General features: G+C 42.3%; 1 long non-coding RNA gene across 1 annotated transcript in view, besides 1 other annotated feature; it reads left to right on the forward strand.

Moving 5' to 3' along the window:
• LOC105373454 (uncharacterized) overlaps positions 1–14,206 on the forward strand; it is a 148,852-nt gene extending 134,646 nt beyond the window's left edge. The window contains exon 8 of the long non-coding RNA XR_001739302.1: positions 156–14,206. This is a non-coding gene — a long non-coding RNA (uncharacterized LOC105373454). The remainder of the gene's footprint in view (positions 1–155) is intronic.
• Positions 14,983–15,183: a silencer, noted in NCBI's record as "peak3612 fragment used in MPRA reporter construct". NCBI's record gives its function as "represses an SCP1 promoter by STARR-seq MPRAs in K562 erythroleukemia cells {active_cell/tissue: K562}" and the evidence as "EXISTENCE:reporter gene assay evidence [ECO:0000049][PMID:32103011]".

Below are 18,321 nucleotides of genomic sequence, written 5' to 3' on the forward strand. Positions count from 1 at the left end.
TTCAGGATATTTAATTTCAACCAATCATCTGAAGGAAAGTGGGGGGAGGAGGTATCTGATGTGAAACAGCACACGGGGAAAGCCAGCCAAGTTAGAAAATAGAGCAGCTCGGGGCTGTGTCGATGTGACAACTGAAGTCTCTTTTGTTCTCTCAGGCAGGGTCTGAAACCAAAGCCCCTCAAGGACAGGAGATCTACCTCTGGGCTTGGAATCAAGAGGACCAGTCGTTCCGGGAGGCCTCCCTGCTACCTTTGGGGCCTTTGGCAAGTCCCTGAAAGTTTCCAGGTTTCAGCCACCTATTTGGGCTCTGGGGAGAGGAATGCCTACCATTTGCCTCTGGCTCTGGGATTTTAAAAGGAAAAGCAGCAGAGTCTTTGGAAAAACCAATCTCTGAAGACCCAGGGTGAACATTAGTTACAACACCCTAGCTTCGAGGTGATGTAAACTTCAGGTACGGAGGTTACGCTCAGAGGAATAAAGGAGCATTCGTCAAACATGAGCTCCCCTCGATTGTGGTCTAGGGTGGAGACCAGTTATTCAAGTGTCTGTGGGCCCAGGCAGGTAATGAAAATGTAGTTATGGGGGAACGCCCGGCTCAGAACAGGCGTAGAGTAAATAGTTGTTGTTGACTGACTGAAGGAATAAAAGTGGGTCTGATATAAGACAATAGGGAATGGTACAAACCTTGTCAAACTGGAAGGTACATGACTTGAATTTGATGTTCAAACTATTGCTTTTTAAAACACTAGTTTAAACATCTTCTGGCCCTAGAGCTACCAATTTGTATCTCTGTATCCACTTTTATATATTTTAGGCCCATTTAAAAGACCAGGAAAGGAGGAAAATAAATCTAGCAGTATAGGACGTTCTTAATCTTGTCAGTTAACCCTAATTTTAACACCCCATCTCTGTTTGTCATTCTACTTAACCACTTTGGATTAAGCAAATTCAGTCACTTTGGAAATAGTACGTGTGGATGGTACCTTACAGGATGAAGGACCATAACAATATTCTCTAGCGCAGGCCTCTACCTCCACAGGGGGACAGACTGATGAGCCAGATCAACTCCTGCATCCTCTTCCTCAAGGAAAGCCCCCATCAATAAAACCACAAGGTTACAGTGGAGCCAGAGGGAGAGCTGGCCTGAGTTGAGACCTCCTCATGGAACTCATGGCTTCAGTTTCCTAAAATGGGGATTGTACTCCCCTAGCTCTCCTTGCTTCACAGAGCTGTTTGTGACAACTCATGAGTAATGTTATGTGAAAGGGCTTCACACACTGCAGTGTGCTGAATAAATGTAAAGAGTCCATGCTATCCAATTTGGAGACAGAAATTAGAGGACTCCTCCTCACACTAGTTAAGTACATCTCTTAAATTGCTTGGACTGTTGGCGTGGTTCTCGCCAGAGTTGAATATAATTCCTCTGTTGATGGGTCAGCCTTTATTTCCCCCAGTGCTGTTTCTTACTTGAGTTAATGAGTCCAAAGCTCATGTTTGCATGCTACCTCTGACCCTCACTAAGTGCTCACCTGCAGCTCTGCCCTGTCCTCAGAATGATGTGACCCTCAGGGCCAAACACTCCACAGGCTGCACTCTGCCACCTCCAAATCCCCACCAGTGGGTCCAATTCTCAGTCATCTGCTTGTTGTATTTCTGTTGTTTCTGTATTCATGTCAAGGATATTTGGCTGCAGAATTCCTGCAATATATTTTAGGTGAATGTGCAGCATGATCTTATTCTGGAGTCCAGGAGACTCCACCTAGGATTGCTCACAAGTAGGTCAAGTGGAGGGGGTGGCTAAGGCCAGTTTTTCTGCTTGCTATGCTGGTGCAGGCAGAGGCTTTAGAGTTATGTTTCCAATAAAAGGCATAGATTTTCACTGCCTGATGATCAAAGTCAAACTCCTAAGCCTGGAATTTGAGGCTCTCAAAATCTGGCAATATCATTTTTTCCTTCTTCTCTTCTAGTTTCTTCTGTGCACCACAGGCCTCATGCACCAGGGTGCACCCCCTTCCATGTACATATTCCACATTTTCACACATCAAGCATGCATATGTACAATTTATACATACAGTTTCCTCTGATTCTTTTTTGTCCTTAAATGTCTGCCTGCTATCATCATGACCATTTTTAGGGAGAAATGCTTACCCGTACCTCCTATTTCCACAGAGAGGAGAGGCAAAGTCGAGAGTTTCACCACTCTCTTTAGGAGGAGAAAAGATGGAGGAACATTCCCAGCCCCTGACTCCATCTTTGACTCGCTCTTCCTAGGAGAAGAGGAGTAACTGGGATCAGAACCTGAGCATACCCAGCTCAGCTCCACCATCCCTCCGTCTTCAGGGCTCCTCCTGCCTGCAGATCAAGGGCTTCTTGCCTGGCTCCCACTTACTTTCTCCCTGTGGTTGCCGTCTAGAGGCAGTCATGAAGCCCCGTGCTCAGGGCAAGTCCCTCCACGGGGGCAGGACTGGCATGAAGGAGTAATGCCCTCTGTAGTGGGAAGGGTGAGAACGTCTGCCTGGGACTGGCCCTGCCCTCATAAGGGTTTATACTGCAAAGGCAGGGGAAAGAGGCCTGTTCTCCAATCCAGAGTTACCAACTGATAGTTTGAGTTTCTTCCTTCTGGCCCTAGTGCCCATACTGAATTGACTCTGAATCCTCAGAGGAAGAGAGAAATTATTTATGTCCTAAAACCTCAACAGCTAAATGTCACATCTTCAAAGACGTTTCAGACCTTCCTTGTCAGGTGTGATCATTCCTTCTCTTTTTCCTCTTCGCGTGTTTCCTGTAGAACTCCAGTTGTGCTTCATTTGCTCATTCTTTAGTTCGACACATATTTACAGGTGAAGACCTGGGATTTCCTTGCATTTAGGATGTGACGAAAAATCACATTTTTTAAGTTGCGTTTTTTTCAGAAAATCCAAGTCTTCACATTAGTATGGTATAATTAGAACAGAATTGGACAGAAGGCTTGGATTTAGGTCTCAGATTGAGACCTGCAAGATACTGAGAGCTTCTGAGATTACAGGAATGCTGCTAGGTGCTTTTTGATACAGAATCTTGAAATTGTTGGTTTCCTACATTATTTTCTTTTTGGAATGAAGACCACTAAAACTCTAAGACAAAGTGAACAAATGATAGCAAAAATAACAGTAAGGAAACCATGATCAGCTCGGGGTCATGTCACCAATAGTTGGCTGGGTCAGGGGTCAGACCCAAGACTCTTGACTCTGAATCCTCTATTCATTCTTTCTGCCTTCTCTCACACTCTCTGTGACTCTTGCAGTCCCTCTGCAGAGATAAGAGTAACCCATGAAACAGATCTGTAGCAACATAAGGCAATAAATGATAAATGCCAAAATAATTCCTCCTGGCTATGAGTAAACTAAGGATTCCATGAAGGGCGAATCCCCATGGCCGTGGAGATTCATGGCAGCCTTCCTGGAAAAGGCAGGATTGAATTGAACCCTGGCAGGAGAATTCTTGGGTAGGGATAGAGGACTGGGAAGAACATTCTAGGCAGAGGATCTCATAGAAACAAAGGAGCACAGGCCAGATAGAGCAAGAGAAATCCAGGACACAATGAATTTACCAGCCTGGCCTGACCCAAGGTTGGTATCTGGATAAGGATAACATGGGAGGTAAGGCTAGAAAAGACGATTAGGTCTTTACTTGAGAGGATAGTGGTTTTCAATTTAGGAAGAACCACAGTCTCACCATTTTGAAAATGCCTATACCAGTCCCCAGACCTGCTGAATCAGACAGGATTTGGGGGAATGAGTTGGAACAATTATTATTTTTCAGTCCTCTATATGTGATTCTAATGCTCAGTGAAGGCCGAAAATCACCAAGAAAGGAAGAAAGCCCATCAAGCATACACAGAGCCCTATATTTCCATCCAGTCGTCCTAGGGTTCCTCTCTGGCTTTCCATCTGTAACACTGAGTTGGGGCAAACTACTCTCTATACCCCATTTTTCTAATTTTTAAGATTGAAACAATAATAAGACTGCCTACCGCCCTCAAAAGCTCATCAGGATGAAAAAGCAAAGTGTTGTATTTGAAAATCCCAGACAGATGTGGCATAGGTAGCTGTGAGTTGATTCTTTGACTAGGGAGGTGCTGAAGGCTGCTGATAAAAGTATTGGGGCCGGAAGGGCACCCAGAGGGATGGATGAAGCACCGAGAGATTGGAGGGTACTGGGTAGCAGCTAAGGCAATGATTCAGGTGTGAGCTGACACAGCCCAGCCATGGTGAGGCCTTGAGGATAAGTGTGTGGCCACAGGCCAAAAAGATTCAGATTCTCTGTGGGGAACAGCAAGGCACTATCCACACCTAAAAATAAAACTGGCCTGTCTCAACCCTGGATTGGATACCTCAAATTGCTGAAGGGCAGCAGGACCAAATTCTAATTTTAAGAAAGTCTGCTCTTTGAATGCAGACTCAGAAACAGCTTTGCTGGGGAAAAATGTCAAATGGTTTGCCAGGATATTGACAGTGTTCCCAAAGACAGGAATAGAAGTACTGAAAAAGGGAATGTCAAGACAGGAGTTCCTGGGGTCTCTAACTCCGGAATCTTCCAGCAGGAGAAGGAAAGGCAAGGAACCAAAACCCAGCAAGTTAAAAAATAATAATAATAACAATAGTAATAATAAGACCAAGCTGCAAATCTACGCTCCTGACACTCCCATCTTGCTCCCACCTGGGCCCCTGGAGCGATTCCCTGTGACCCTTAAAGAGCTACCACCCCTTGGGGTGGTGTCAGGGACTCCTGCTCCCCTTCCTCCTCCTCTGGCAGCTACAGGCGCCATTATCTCATGAACTTTCCCCATATCCCTTGGAGATAAGTATTTCCTTATGGTAGTGATTGTTATTCTCATTTCACAGCTGGAGAGGTGGAGACAGAAGGATAGTCCTGAGAAGAGGGAGACATTTTCTTCCTTTCCTCTGGACTCTGTCATATTCAAATCATAAAACAGAAAGCACAGGAAAGGTCTCTGAGCATTGTTAAACTCAAGGTAGCAGGGATCAGCACTAAGGGAAGGAAAGGTTATTGTGGGTTTGGTGTGTTGTAAAATTTATGTTCAAATTTTTTGGGGGGAGATGGTGGATAGTCAATTTCTTTTTATTTTCATACGCCCATTAAAAAAAAGGTGGAATTTCAGAAATAATCTAATGCAAGCTTCATTTTGCATGTAAGGAAATTGAGGCCCAAAGTGAGAACTTGTTAAACAGGCTGTGACGGGGATGCTGAAGCCCCCTGCTCCTAGTGGCATTTAGGCCATGCTGTCTGCCACCCTTCAACCTGCTTCACATGCTCTGGGGACTGAGACTCCAGGCAAAGGCACATCCAAGGGTGATGCTGCCTTGGGTTATCGTGAGAGTCTGGCTAGAGGCCGGACTTCTCTGCAAAGTTTGAGAAACGTATTGAAATTATCAAGACTTGGAAGGCAGCCGTCATTTGCACCGAGCTTTCACCGCCTTACCGAGTTCCTAGACTTTAACTATTCAGGGTTTAGCCAGCCCATTGTATTAGTCTCATCAGAAGCCCTGCAATCTTAGGCCTGTCCCCTAGGCCCAGGGTGAGGTTTCTGGGAGGTATGGGAGCAATCCTGGCCCCACAGACCCCCAACAACTGCCCTAGGGGAGAGAGGATTGTGGGAAACCTCCCTGGCCCCTGCGCTGGGAGGGCACAGGCTGGGGGAGTTGGATGCTGCTCTCAGGATGTCTTTAGGTAGGAAGACGGGCCATCCACAGAGAACTATGGCCTACGAGAGCTTCTGTGGAGGTCAGTGCAAGACAGTCCCTTTCTACACAAATGATTCATTGCTGGAAACTTCACATAATTACACATTTGAATAATTCAAAGCTAATTTTCTTACAGGCACAAATGTAAAGAAGGATAGATTTCACTTTTGAGACTTGTAAATCTGTAAGTACCATTAGAAAGTGTAACTTTTTTGTTTTTGCTTTTGAACTTACTTTTATAACAATAAATATAGGATATGCCAATAAGGATTTTCTGAAAATTTAGAGATGTCTGTTTAATAGAGCTTTTCATGTTCAATGAGGTTATCTGTAGTGTTTTCCTAAATCAACTGCTCGAGTTATCCTGGCAGATATTTGGTCCTCATCATAGTATTTTATCACATCTAATCCTGTTTCCTAATGTTTTTATTCTCAGAAATGTTTTTCAGCAAAAGCACTATTTCCACTACTTAATGCACCCTTGGGTGACATTGATATAAGATATAGAAAAAAATTTAATTATAAGAACACTGAGTAGTGACAAAAATGACCCCCTGCCAACTCCTTTTGGTAAACAACAGAATGGGCTGGTGACAGATTTGTGCGTGCTAACAAAGAGACCGTTGCCATGGGGCAGTAGTGAAAACAAAGCTTAAAATGAATTCAGCACTATTGATTATTATGCAATTCTCATTAATTTTATGCATTTTGAAAACTTAAGTAATTTCCAATTTTGAGCACTTTACAGACTCTTTTTAAATTCCTCCAACTTTCTACCATATGGTACAATATACAAAGTAACATAGAAGTTGTGGGGAGGAAATGGAACAAAAAAAGAAAGATTAGAATTGGGATTTAAACTCACAACTTTTACTTCTAGACAATTTCACATAGGATTTACCCAGCGATGCATCTCTTAAAGATGCACCATCCTGACATCCTTGGCTCATTCATCATGCCACCTTGCCTCCTGCAGGGAAAGTCACTGCCAAGAAGACATCACATTGGGCATATTCATTTTAATTAGTTCTCCCAATAATACCATGCTACAGATATCTCTATAATTAGATGCCCATCGACTATTGCGTCATTTCCCTGAGTCTACAGTCACCCTGGCATTGTGGCCCCTGGAGTCCTAGGTGCCTTGGCAGTTGCAGACTCCAATGTTTCTCTGCTCAGTGCCTTAAGATTTCTCAGCAACTGTCCTCTGCCAGGCTTCCCAGGCCCCTGCACAAAGAATTAGCCAATGCAGGCATCAAAGTGGAGTTCAGAAAATTGTGCACGCAGCTTAACCTCCTGGCTGCCTCAGCAGCTCTCTGCTGCCTTCAAGACAATTAATTTTTTTTTAATGTTTTTCTTACTGTTCTCAGCTAGAACAGTGGTTTGCTACAGCTACTGCATCAGAACCAGAAGTGGACGTCAACATGTTTTTGAGATTTGTATTATAGTTTGGGTCATTATTTTTAACAGCTGAATATAATTTATATATATAGTACATTGTATTTATTTATAGGTGGACGTTTGAATGTTTTCCAACTTTTCACTGTTAAAAACAATGCTGTAATGAATATTCTTGCACATGTCTTCTTGTACACATCTTTGAGAATTCCTCTAAAATATACATCTGGAAGAGGAATTGCAGACCATACAGGCTGCTAATTTTTAATGTAATTATATATTGCCAAATTGCTTTCTAAAGTAGATGAACCACTTTACATTTTCACCAGTAGTATGTGAGTGTTTGTGTTTATCACTAGCTTTGATAATTCTTGGTTGTGAAACCATTTAATTTTTGCTAGTCAATTGGAAATAAATTTATATCTTCTTTTTCTGATTACTAATGGGGCTCTCCAGCTCATTGCATTTCGGGATTCCTTTTCTGGAAATGCCTGTTCACATCTCTGGTTGATTTTCCATTGGATATTTGTCTCTTCCTTATGAATGTATTATTTATACAACCTAAATACCAATTAACCCTTAGTCTGCTATATATGTGGCAAATCAATCCACAAGTATCCATTGAGAGCCTTCTGCATGCAGTTCTAGGGGCATAAGGGTAAATAAAACAGACTAGGTCTGATTTCCGTGAGGCTTATGTTCCAGTGCAAGAAGACCGAGCATCATCAGTTTAACACAAAATTAGTAAAATGACATCAAATCAGAAGAAATGCTATAAAAATAAAACAAAAAAATAAAATAGAGAGGGATGGGTATGTCAGATGTTTTAGGTTGGAGAGGTTACAGAAAAACCTGAAGCAGAAGCTTGAATGAGAAGAGAGAGCCCCATGAAAATAAGGGGATAATGCTTCCCCACATGGATGAAAGTCCAAGACCCTGAGGTGGCACCAGCTAGGCACTCAGTGTTTTTTTTTTTTTTTTTCTATGTCTCCATCCTCCAAAGGCCAAGATTTTCTCTAATGAGTGCTTTACTCTGTGCTCCAGCAGGGCCACAATTATTGCTATCTGAATCTGAGTTGTGGCAGGCAAGATGTACAGATTATTCTCTGGCACAATAAATTGGGTTTAACTCAAGCCCCCCCAGCAGTGGTAATAGCTGAAGAAGAAAGCCTTTCTTCCACACAGCACAGTTCATGCTATTTGGAGGGCATCCTGATGAAAGGCATTGGCACTCTGGATTCAGGTTACCCACATTCATATCCTCCTTCCAGTTTATTAGCTATGAGACCCTAAAGCAAGTTCTCCAAACTCTCTGAGCTTCCATTTCTTCTTGTGTAAAATGGAGATCATATTTATGGTAGAAAGGCCTCTAAGGTGTCCCCCCAAAGATCCCAGCCTCTTGGTATTCATACTCTTGTGCAATTCCCTTCATGGAGTGGACCTAGTAACTTCCTTGTAATTAATGAGAATATCACATAAGTGACAGGATGTCACTTGTGAGATAAGGTTTTAAAAGACTCTGAAATCAATTTAAATCCATCTTGCTGTCTCCCTTCCTTGCTCTTTATGTGGAAGCAAGCTGCCATATTGAGAGGTCTATATGGCAAGAAACAAGGATATCCTCTGCCCAACAGCCAGCAAGGAACTAAGACCTACCAATAGCCACTGAGTGTGCTTGGAAATGAACCCTACCCTAGTTGAAATGAGGTGACTGTGAGCTGGCTGATATCTTGATTGCAGCTGTGTGAGAGACCTGGAGCTGAAGGAATCAGGCAAGACATACCTGGATTCCTGACCCACAGAAACTTTGAGATAATAGATGTGTGTTATTTTAAGTCACTAAAATTTGTGGTAATTCATTATATAGCAGTAAATAATTAATACAATAATAGGACCTTATCATGTCATTCCTGTGAATCTGAAATTACAGATGATTCCTGACTTAACAGTAATTCCACTTACTTTTTTTTTTTTTTTTTTTTTTTTTTTACTTTACTGTGGTGCGAAAGTGATACACATTGATGGAGTTATGTCCTGACAAAACCATTGTACAGCGAAAATATTTGGTGGAAAATAAGCATTTTTGACTTAGGATGTTTTCAATTTATGATGGTTTTATCCGAGTATAACCCCATTGTAAATGAAGGAGAACCTGCAACTAACACAAGTGTTAAGGGCACATGGTAAGGGCTCATAAATGTTAGGGGCTGTTCTCCTACTCATTGCCGAAGAGTTGGGCAGTGGGTGTTTTTACCAAAATTAAGGCTGACAACAAGTCCTGCCTCCTGCAAACCCCCACTGAAGCCCATTGGATCACAGGTCTGACCAAAGCATTCTTGCAGTTTTAAATCTCAGGAGTGGCTCCTTCAGATGGGCTATCTTGAAAGCACCAGAGTAGTCTCGTCCCTTAGTCCTAAAAAACCAAAGGATAGAGATGGCCTCGGATTTTAGTACCTTCCTGCTGTTCTCTTCTATTTTCCCAGTACTCCAGCTGCTCTCGGTTCTGATTTTCTCCAGGAAGGCTTTTCATACGGACCCCAGTGAGTTCTCCTTCCTCTGAAAACCTTAGCTATTTTCATTATGGTTATGGTTTTGTATTTCTTTCCACCCTTGTGCAACACCAGCTACCTGAAGGGGATTTTACATGTGCTTGTCTGACATCGACTCCCTTGGAGGTCTCTTTGGTACCGACGTTCACTTTCACTCTACTGCCTTCTGCCCATCTGCTATTCAATTCTTCCCACCCTTGCCCCTGAACTACATGGCAGTGGGTAAGCGTATCCTAAATGTTGGCAGTGCAGTGGCAGTAGATGGCAAGGATGTTTCAGGTGGTTCTTACAGGTCTCAGGTAACATATGAAACCCGTTTCATTAGTAAAACCAAAACAAGGGGTCCTGTTGCATGCTCCCCCATAGGAAATACTTTACAGCTTAGGGGATCCAGGCTATAAATAACTGTGCCAAGTCTGTGAAGCATATTTTTTTTGTCAGTTTATCCAGATCAGAAGCTTCTGAAAGTCCAAAGCCCTTGAGATTATTTGCTTTGTAACGATAAGAATGTGCAAGGTACTTCCACATTTATGATGTCATACAGACTCCAAAATAATGCTGGAAGATAGTCAGGAATCATTAACTCCATTTCATAAATGACTCAGAAGAGGGAGTAACTTGCCCAGGTTTATAAAGGACTGGGGTGGGCTTTATAAGGACAGGGGTGGGCTTGAGTTCAGATCTTTTGCATCTAAATGAATATTGACATGGTGAATATTCAGAGTTCTTACTCCGTGCTAAGCCCCACATTGAGTGTTTATACATGTTATCCCATATATAGTCATATTGCACACTGACGAGTTAAGTTTAGAGAGATTAAGTCACTTGGCCTGGTGACCCACAGCTAGTGAAGGAAGAATTGAGACTGGAACCCAGGTCTCTGGCTCTAGAGCCTTTGCTTTTACGCACACACCAAGTATCTCCCAACTCCAGAGGTCCTGAGCTTCCCTCACAGGGTGCTGGTGATGCAGTGTCAGAAGAGAGGAAGATACCCTGCTCAGCCCCACTCAGCCAAGGTAACGCTAATGGTCAGTCAGTCCTCAGAGAGCTGGGATGCCCTTCTTCTCCCTGCTTACCTCTGCCTGGCCCACCTCTCCTCCCTCAGATCCAGGCCTCTGCAGAGGGCCGGCCCAATTCTGGGAGCATCCTGCCTGCTAAGGTTAGAGAGCTAGGCCTGAAGAAAAGGGATACATTTTTAGCAATAATAATTATGCAAACCTGGACGTAGAAATATAATCCAGAAGGAGGCTTCATTTGCCCACAAAAGAGCTCTACATTGAAGGAGAGGCTTGGAGAATCTTTGCATGTACAGTTTATATAAGCAAGCTTCATAATTATATCTTTTTCAATGAAATTAATTTAAAAATATCACTTGGGTATAAAAGAGACTGGGAAAAAAAATCTGTATAAAAAGCAAATGGGGTTCTTAAACAAGCCCATAAAATCTCTTCATTGACACAGAGATGGGGGTCGGCAAGGAGACTTTTCGAAAGATTCTCTAGGTATGAAATACTGGTTAGGAAATGCCCTCTACCTGGTTGGAGGTAGGAAGATGGGGGTTATCAGGACACAGGCCTTGCTAAGTCCTCAGGGTCTCGCTGTCTAAAAGTTTCCACACTCAAGGGCTCCAGGCCCTCCCTGTACACCACAGGATAAGTGCTGAGATTCTGGAGTCAGAGAAAGCCAGGGCTGGATTTAAGCTGTGTGCTTTCTTCTCCTACTGAAAATACGGAGAAGTCCATTCTCACCCCTGCAGTCAGAGTGATCCTTCTGAATCAGATCAAAGTACTGATCTGCTCAAAATCCTGCGATGGCTCCCCACTTCCCTTAATGGCAGCCTACGTCCTTGGAAGCACTGGCCTGAGGTCCTTTTAAGTTCTTAGTAGAAACCCAAGCCACCTAAGGTGAAAACTGTTAAGCTCCAATCACCCTGACTCATATGCTAACCTTGTTCACTTTTCTCTAGCCACATTGTCCTCCTGGCTACTTGTCCTCCAACAATGCCAGACGCAGCTCCTACTTGATGGCCCTTGTATTGCTTCTTCCTTGGCCTAACCAATGGGTTCACCTCCTTTATGTCTCTGCCTACATATAAACTTCTTAATGAGACTCACCCTGTGAAATTATTACTATCTCTGTCTGCACCCCTTTTCCTTCCCTGATTTTTTTCCCTGATCACCTTCTTGGTATACAATTAATTGATTTGTAAATTTTATTTTTTTTGGATGCCACTTTCCCCTCTAGTTCAATCTACATAAAACTAGAAGTGTTTGTTTGTTTCAGTCATTAATAGATTCCAAGGACCTAGCATGGTGCTTAACATATAGTACGTGCTTAATAACTTATGGCTGAATTAATGAATGAATGTTTAATGCTCACAAGCCACTTCTTCTCCAAGCCTCCGTTTTCTCTTCTCTAAATGGCAGTAAAAATAATACTGCAATGAACGGCTGCTGCTTTTGTCTACCTGGTATTCCTTCTACATTTGATAAGAGAGCTCCTCTTTCCTAAACCCATTTCATGTGGTTCTGATAGCAGCAATCACAGAGTTGCTATGGTCACCCCGGCTGCCCTGGCAATCAGGGAACACCACCATTTCCCTGGTCATGGTGGTGCACAAAAAGGCATGCGTTTCAAGCAGGGCCAATCCATGAGACTAGGTCAATGCTCTCTGGATGAAGGGCCATTTGGAGGAGCCTGTGCTGGCAGGGCCATGTGGGCTGTGGCTGTCAGCAGTGATTTTACAAACTCTTGAAGGCAGCTTGCTCGGGATGTAGCCAAGCAGCATCAGGCAAAGCAGAGAGTTGCCTCGAGAAAGAACAGAGCTCGTGCTCTTTTTGAAAATAGGGTCTAGCTGGAAGAGAGCTGAGGCAAACAGACCCTGGGAATGGACAGGACTAATATGGAGCGACAAACTGCGGAGCCAAAAGCAGAAATTCCTCTGCCTAGGATGGCATCCTTCAATTTTTGCTTGGCAAATTCCTGCTCATCCTTCAGAACCTCATTTGAGGACTTCTTGCTCCCCTAGATCTCATGGGCTGAATTGATCACGATTCCCTTTGTGCCCCATTGTACCAGGTTTCAACTGTATCAAATTCATCACTACAAATTGTAGTCATCCATTGTGTTCATTTGCTAGAAATGCCATAACAAAATAGCACAGTCTGGGGGGCTTAATAGAAATGTATTTTCTCATGGTTCCAGAGGCTGGAAGTCCAAGATCAAGGTGTCGACAGTGACGGTTCCTTCCGAGGCTTCTCTCCACGGCTTCACCCTGTCTTCACTTGGCCTTTCCTCTTTGTGTGCATCCCTGGTATCTCTGTGTGTGTCTAAATGTCCTTTTCTTAGAAAGACATGAGTCAGATTACATGAGGGCCCACCCTAATGGCTTCATTTTAACTTATTTACCTCTTTAAAGGCTTTATTTCCAAATGCAGTCACATTCTAAGGTGAGGGTTAGGGATTCAACATATGAATTTAGAGGGACAAAATTCATCCCACAAAATCTACTTTCCTACTTCCTCCACCAAGTTACTTGAGGTCAGATGGAAGCTGCTTAATAAATGTTTGATTAAGAAAGGATTAACAAGATGAGTGAATGAAGAGAAATCATTGTGCTGCCTCAGGCCTAGATAGATCCTTCCTTTGGCACCAGTGGTCACTTTCTAGTCTCTCCTCAGACTGGTCTGGGAAAATTAAGTCTTCCAGAGAAGGCTGAGGTTATTGGAGTTTCTTCTGCCCTGTTTCAGGGTGGGCCAGGTGCCAAGGGGATGCCTACGTGCCAAAGGCCAAGAATCAGTTTTGTTATTTTAATCCCATTTAAAATCTTTCTAGCCTCTACTCTCTTACTGACTTCCCACATCTGGTAAATTTCCTGAGCTGTCAATTCTTCTCCTAGAGTAGCTATCACTTCTCTCAATTTTTGTGAGGCTGGCAGAAACCCTGACTAGCTCTTTCTTAGATCAGAGTACCAATCTCCTAACTAGCTGGTCTGTCACCACCGTCCCCACTTTAATATACCCTATCCTTGTGATTGTAATCTATCTGAAATCAGTGCCAACTGTGCCATTCATATGCTAAGAAAGCTCTGATCTGCCCTACTGTCTAAAAGTCTAGGTCCCCTTTACATTCCTCCACATGCCCTTCAGACCTTTTGCGATATTGATTTCATCCATCTCTCCAGGGTCCTCTGTCGTCTTCAGTCTCCTGCCACACCAAGGCCACGTCTCTGTGCCTCCTCATATGTTTTTCTACAGCCTGCAACACATCTCTTCCCCTTCTCCCACAAGGATCCCGTGCTTCACAGGCCAACTCAACATTACATGCTTATCCAAAGCTTCCCAAGAACCAAGTTTAGTTATACTTTGAGCTGTTTACCATAGACTCTACCATTTTGCATTATAGCTTTTTTGTGCATGTGTATGTTTATCTACATCTGCTAGACTGTGAGTACTTTGATGGGGAAAAAAAATCAGTCATTTTTTTTTTTTATTTGAGACAGAGTCTCGCTCTGTTGCCCAGGCTGGAGTGCAGTGGCGCAATCTCAGTTCACTGCAACCTCTGCCTCTTGGGTTCAAGCGATTCTCCTGCCTCAGCCTCTCGAGTAGCTGGGAATACAGGTGCCCACCACCACGCCTGGCTATTTTGTACTTTTAGTAGAGATGGGGTTTCACTATGTTGGCCAGGCTGGTCTCGAACTCCTGACCTCAAGAGATCCACCCACCTTGGCCTCCCAGTGTGCTGGGATTATAGGCATGAGCCGCCACACCTGGCCAATCAGTCTTATTAATCAATATATCACTAGCACTCAGTACATATCTAGAATATAAAAGACACTTACACTTATAGATAATTTCAAAATAGTTAGTTGACTTTTTCTGGTTGCCTAAATGTGCCAGGCATAGAAACACATATGGATCTGACCCAGGTATAGACACAACATGGCCATGACTTGCAGTAGTGTGCTAAGGGATCAACAGAGGTGGAAATGAGAAAGGCTTCCTGTGGTGGTGGTGTGTGACCTGGAGCTCATCACCTGGGTAGCAATTTTGTAAGGAAAGTGAAAAATAATTCTTGTTCACACTGGGTGAGGATAAGGGAAAGCATTCCTAGTGGAAGTAAATGACCCAATTGGAGGAAAATAAGGAGCAGGTAGAAAAAAGGCTAAAAGGCTTCAAGAATACTGAGTGGCTGCAGTTTAGCTGAGAAGTAAGAATCGTTTGCTGAAAGTCTTCATGTTGAAGTAAAGGTCCCTGGCTTGCAATACAGGTCACCTGTTTTCATGAACTTCCAGATAGCAGCATAAAAGACGAGAGCCCACATATGGGATGACTTAAATTGGTGCGAGGAAATGTGTGTGTCACTCTGATCGGGAGTGGTACGTGCTGCATTATTAGCCCCAGCCTGAGGCCACAGTACAGTCATAAATCAAGAAGCGGGTGTTTAAAAAACAGTGGAAGTGTTAGGGAAACATGAAGTGGCTGACCTGTGGGGCTGGGCTGTTCCTCCCTACGAGAACTTCTATGACTAATGATGTGGATAAATAGTGCTTAACTTTCTTATAACCACACGTGTAATTTATTTAATTCTGGGATACTATGCAGTTCTGTTGAAGCCCCTTCAGATGATGGTGATCAGTTGAAAAAGGTTACCCTCTACTCAGAAGAGGCTGGAGCTTTGTTCTCACCAAGGAGATTCTTTTTTTCTGATAACTGGGATTAATGTATAGAAAGGTGAGATTTAGGAGTAGCCACCCACTTTTCTAGTTTAATTTATAGCTGTTGAAAGTCTACCAGTAGATAATCATTCCACTGGATATTTAACAGCCTTTAAAATGAAAATGAAAATAAAAATATCTGGGAAGAAGGTGGGTCTCTCTTTAGGATTTGTTGGATCACATTCATTGGGATTCATGAAAGTTGAGTGAGGAAAAGGCCTAAAAGCTTATGGGATTGCAGGATGAGAAGTAAATGAGTAGAAGCCTAAGACTGGCCACCAGCCCTACTCATTAACAGTTGCCACCTTCCCCCTCTAAGCCTCAGTTTTCTCATCTGTAGAAGGGGCTAATAATACCTACCTCATAAAGTGTTATAAAGATCAAAGTCCAAAGTCAGACACCTATTCCTAGACATGATATATTTCTTAGACGTGTATAAAAGTCAAGTATATTTAAGTTGAACAAGCATACAGATATATTGTAAGAAAAAGCTGGTCCCAGATAAATATAAATTGCAAAATTTCTAATTACACCTTACTATTTCTGTATAAAAACCTTTATTTTTAGAAATATTTTTAGCATTTTATTTCTATTCTTTAATAATTGTTTAAATTGTATTTTATAATTGAACACAACAATAATGAGTGTAAGCCCAATGCATATTGAGGTTCATTAAGGTCATCAATTGTTTGCTTTCAGTACACGCATTTCATTTCATTCATTCATTTATTCAATCATTCAACTGGAACAACAAAATGAGTATCAACTACTTGGCAATTTAGTCTCAAATGTGTTAGAATTATGAAACTTAGATTGATGTATCGCTTTCTTTTTTAAAATTTTAACCTTTCTTTAAAAAATTATAAAATTCAGTCAATATTCATGTAAGTCCACAAACACTGCACAACATACATGCCACTGTCAAACAGAACTTTTGGCCTCCAAAAATGTCCTAGGGATAATTCACACAGCTTTTTTTTTATTAGTGATCATGAAAGTCTAAATTCAACATATACATAAGTTTCAGGGGTACCAATGTAACATATAGATAGTAGAAAAAGTTGAAAACCATTAGTGATGTATCTAAAATGTTTTGGTTAAGGCATCTTCCAAATCTAAAGAAATATCAGGAATGGGATATCAGAGGGTGATGCCAGAGTGAGAGAAGAAAGCAAGAAAGCATGCAGGCAAAGGGTAAGTCTTGTTCAAAGACATCATGCATTTCCTGAGAGCTGGCGTAGATCAAGCTCATTTTTTTTTCTTCATTATTCAGGAGAGCTTCTTAATGTAGACATTCTCAATCCTGGCTGCTTCTTCAAAACATTTATTATTCCCATAAAAATAAGTCAAGGCCTGGGGCCCACCCAAGGTTGATTAAATTAGAATTTCTGGGGTGGCGTGCAGAGATGGGTTTGAACTTATGCTTCTTCAGTTACAAACAGCATGGTAGTGAGCAAATGACTTGACTTTTGTATAACAATTTTCTCATTAAAATGGTTACTGATCTATATCACAGATAACTGTCTAGGTTTACACCTGATACACGAAAAACTGCTCAAAATATACTACTTTCCTCTGTATTAGTAGACAATGCTAAAATAGGCAGACGTGAACAGCATTTCTGAGAGATCTTATAATATTATCAAATGAAGCAGGCTGATGAGAGGATACAGATGCCAGAAGGAGCCAGGGAAAATAACAACATGCTTCTCAGGAAGTAAGCCACTTGCAAAGCATGTGCCAGTTTTCTCAGTCTTAGATGGGGCACCATCCATAAGCCAGTAAGTATGACTGCTTCTGACCTGGTCAATGGAAAGTAGAAAGAGAGCTTGCTGTTGGATGTGATGGAAGAGGCTCAGCAACCCAGAGTGCTCCCTAAGGAACAGGGCATGTTAACCAACCTACTTCTTGCAACTTTTCTTAAGCCGCTGAATATTTGATTGGATTAACTCTTCATAATGAAAGGTTATACCACAGGATCAGAGGGTTGGAATTTATAGTTTCACTCCACAGCCTCTGGCGAGGGTAGAGGAACTGGAGATTAAGTTCAATCACCAATGGACAATAATTTAATCAATCATGCCTATATAATGGGGCCTCCGTAAAACCCCCTAACAATGGGGTTCAGAGAGCTTCTGGGTTGCTGAAGGCATCCATGTGCTGGAAGGATGATCCACTCTCTGTAAGCAGATTATTGAACCTGAGGATAGGTTGGTGAAAACCTGTGATTTGTGGCCAAGTTGGACAAAATGTAGGTAACCTATGGACCCGCTACTTGGAATCAATGCCTTAAGTTGTAGGGGATAGTGGTCTTGTGAGACTGGGCCTTTAACTCTCGGAGTCTGACATTAATTATTCATAGATAATGTCAGAATATAATTGAATAATTGGACTCCCAGCTGGTGATTGCAGAGAATTGAAAAACTGTACCCCACACATTTGGTGTCAGAAGGGTTAGCAATAGAGGAACCATTTCATTTGCTTTCAATTTTTTTTAAACCTTCCTTTAGTTTTTGCTCTACTTTCTTTAACTTCTGGAGATAACCACATAAATGATTGATTTCCAGTTATGCTCTATTTTTATATATTTATTCAAGACTATAATTTCATTATCTTTTTTTTTTCCAAATATTTTAAAACTTCCACCTGAGGTTGGGAGTTCGAGACCAGCCTGACCAACATGGAGAAACCGCGTCTCTACTAAAAATACAAAAATTAGCCAGGTGTGGGGGCACATGCCTCTCCTGAGGCAGGAGAATCACTTGAATCTGGGAGGTGGAGGTTGCAGTGAACCGAGATCACACCACTACACTCCAGCCTGGGCAACAAGAGTGAAACTCAGTCTCAAAAACAAACAAAAACAAAAACAACTTCCATTTTGATTTCTTATATGACCCATGATAATTTAGAAGTA

Source organism: Homo sapiens, chromosome 2, assembly GCF_000001405.40.
Source record: "Homo sapiens chromosome 2, GRCh38.p14 Primary Assembly".
In the NCBI taxonomy this organism is placed as follows: Eukaryota; Metazoa; Chordata; class Mammalia; order Primates; family Hominidae; genus Homo; species Homo sapiens.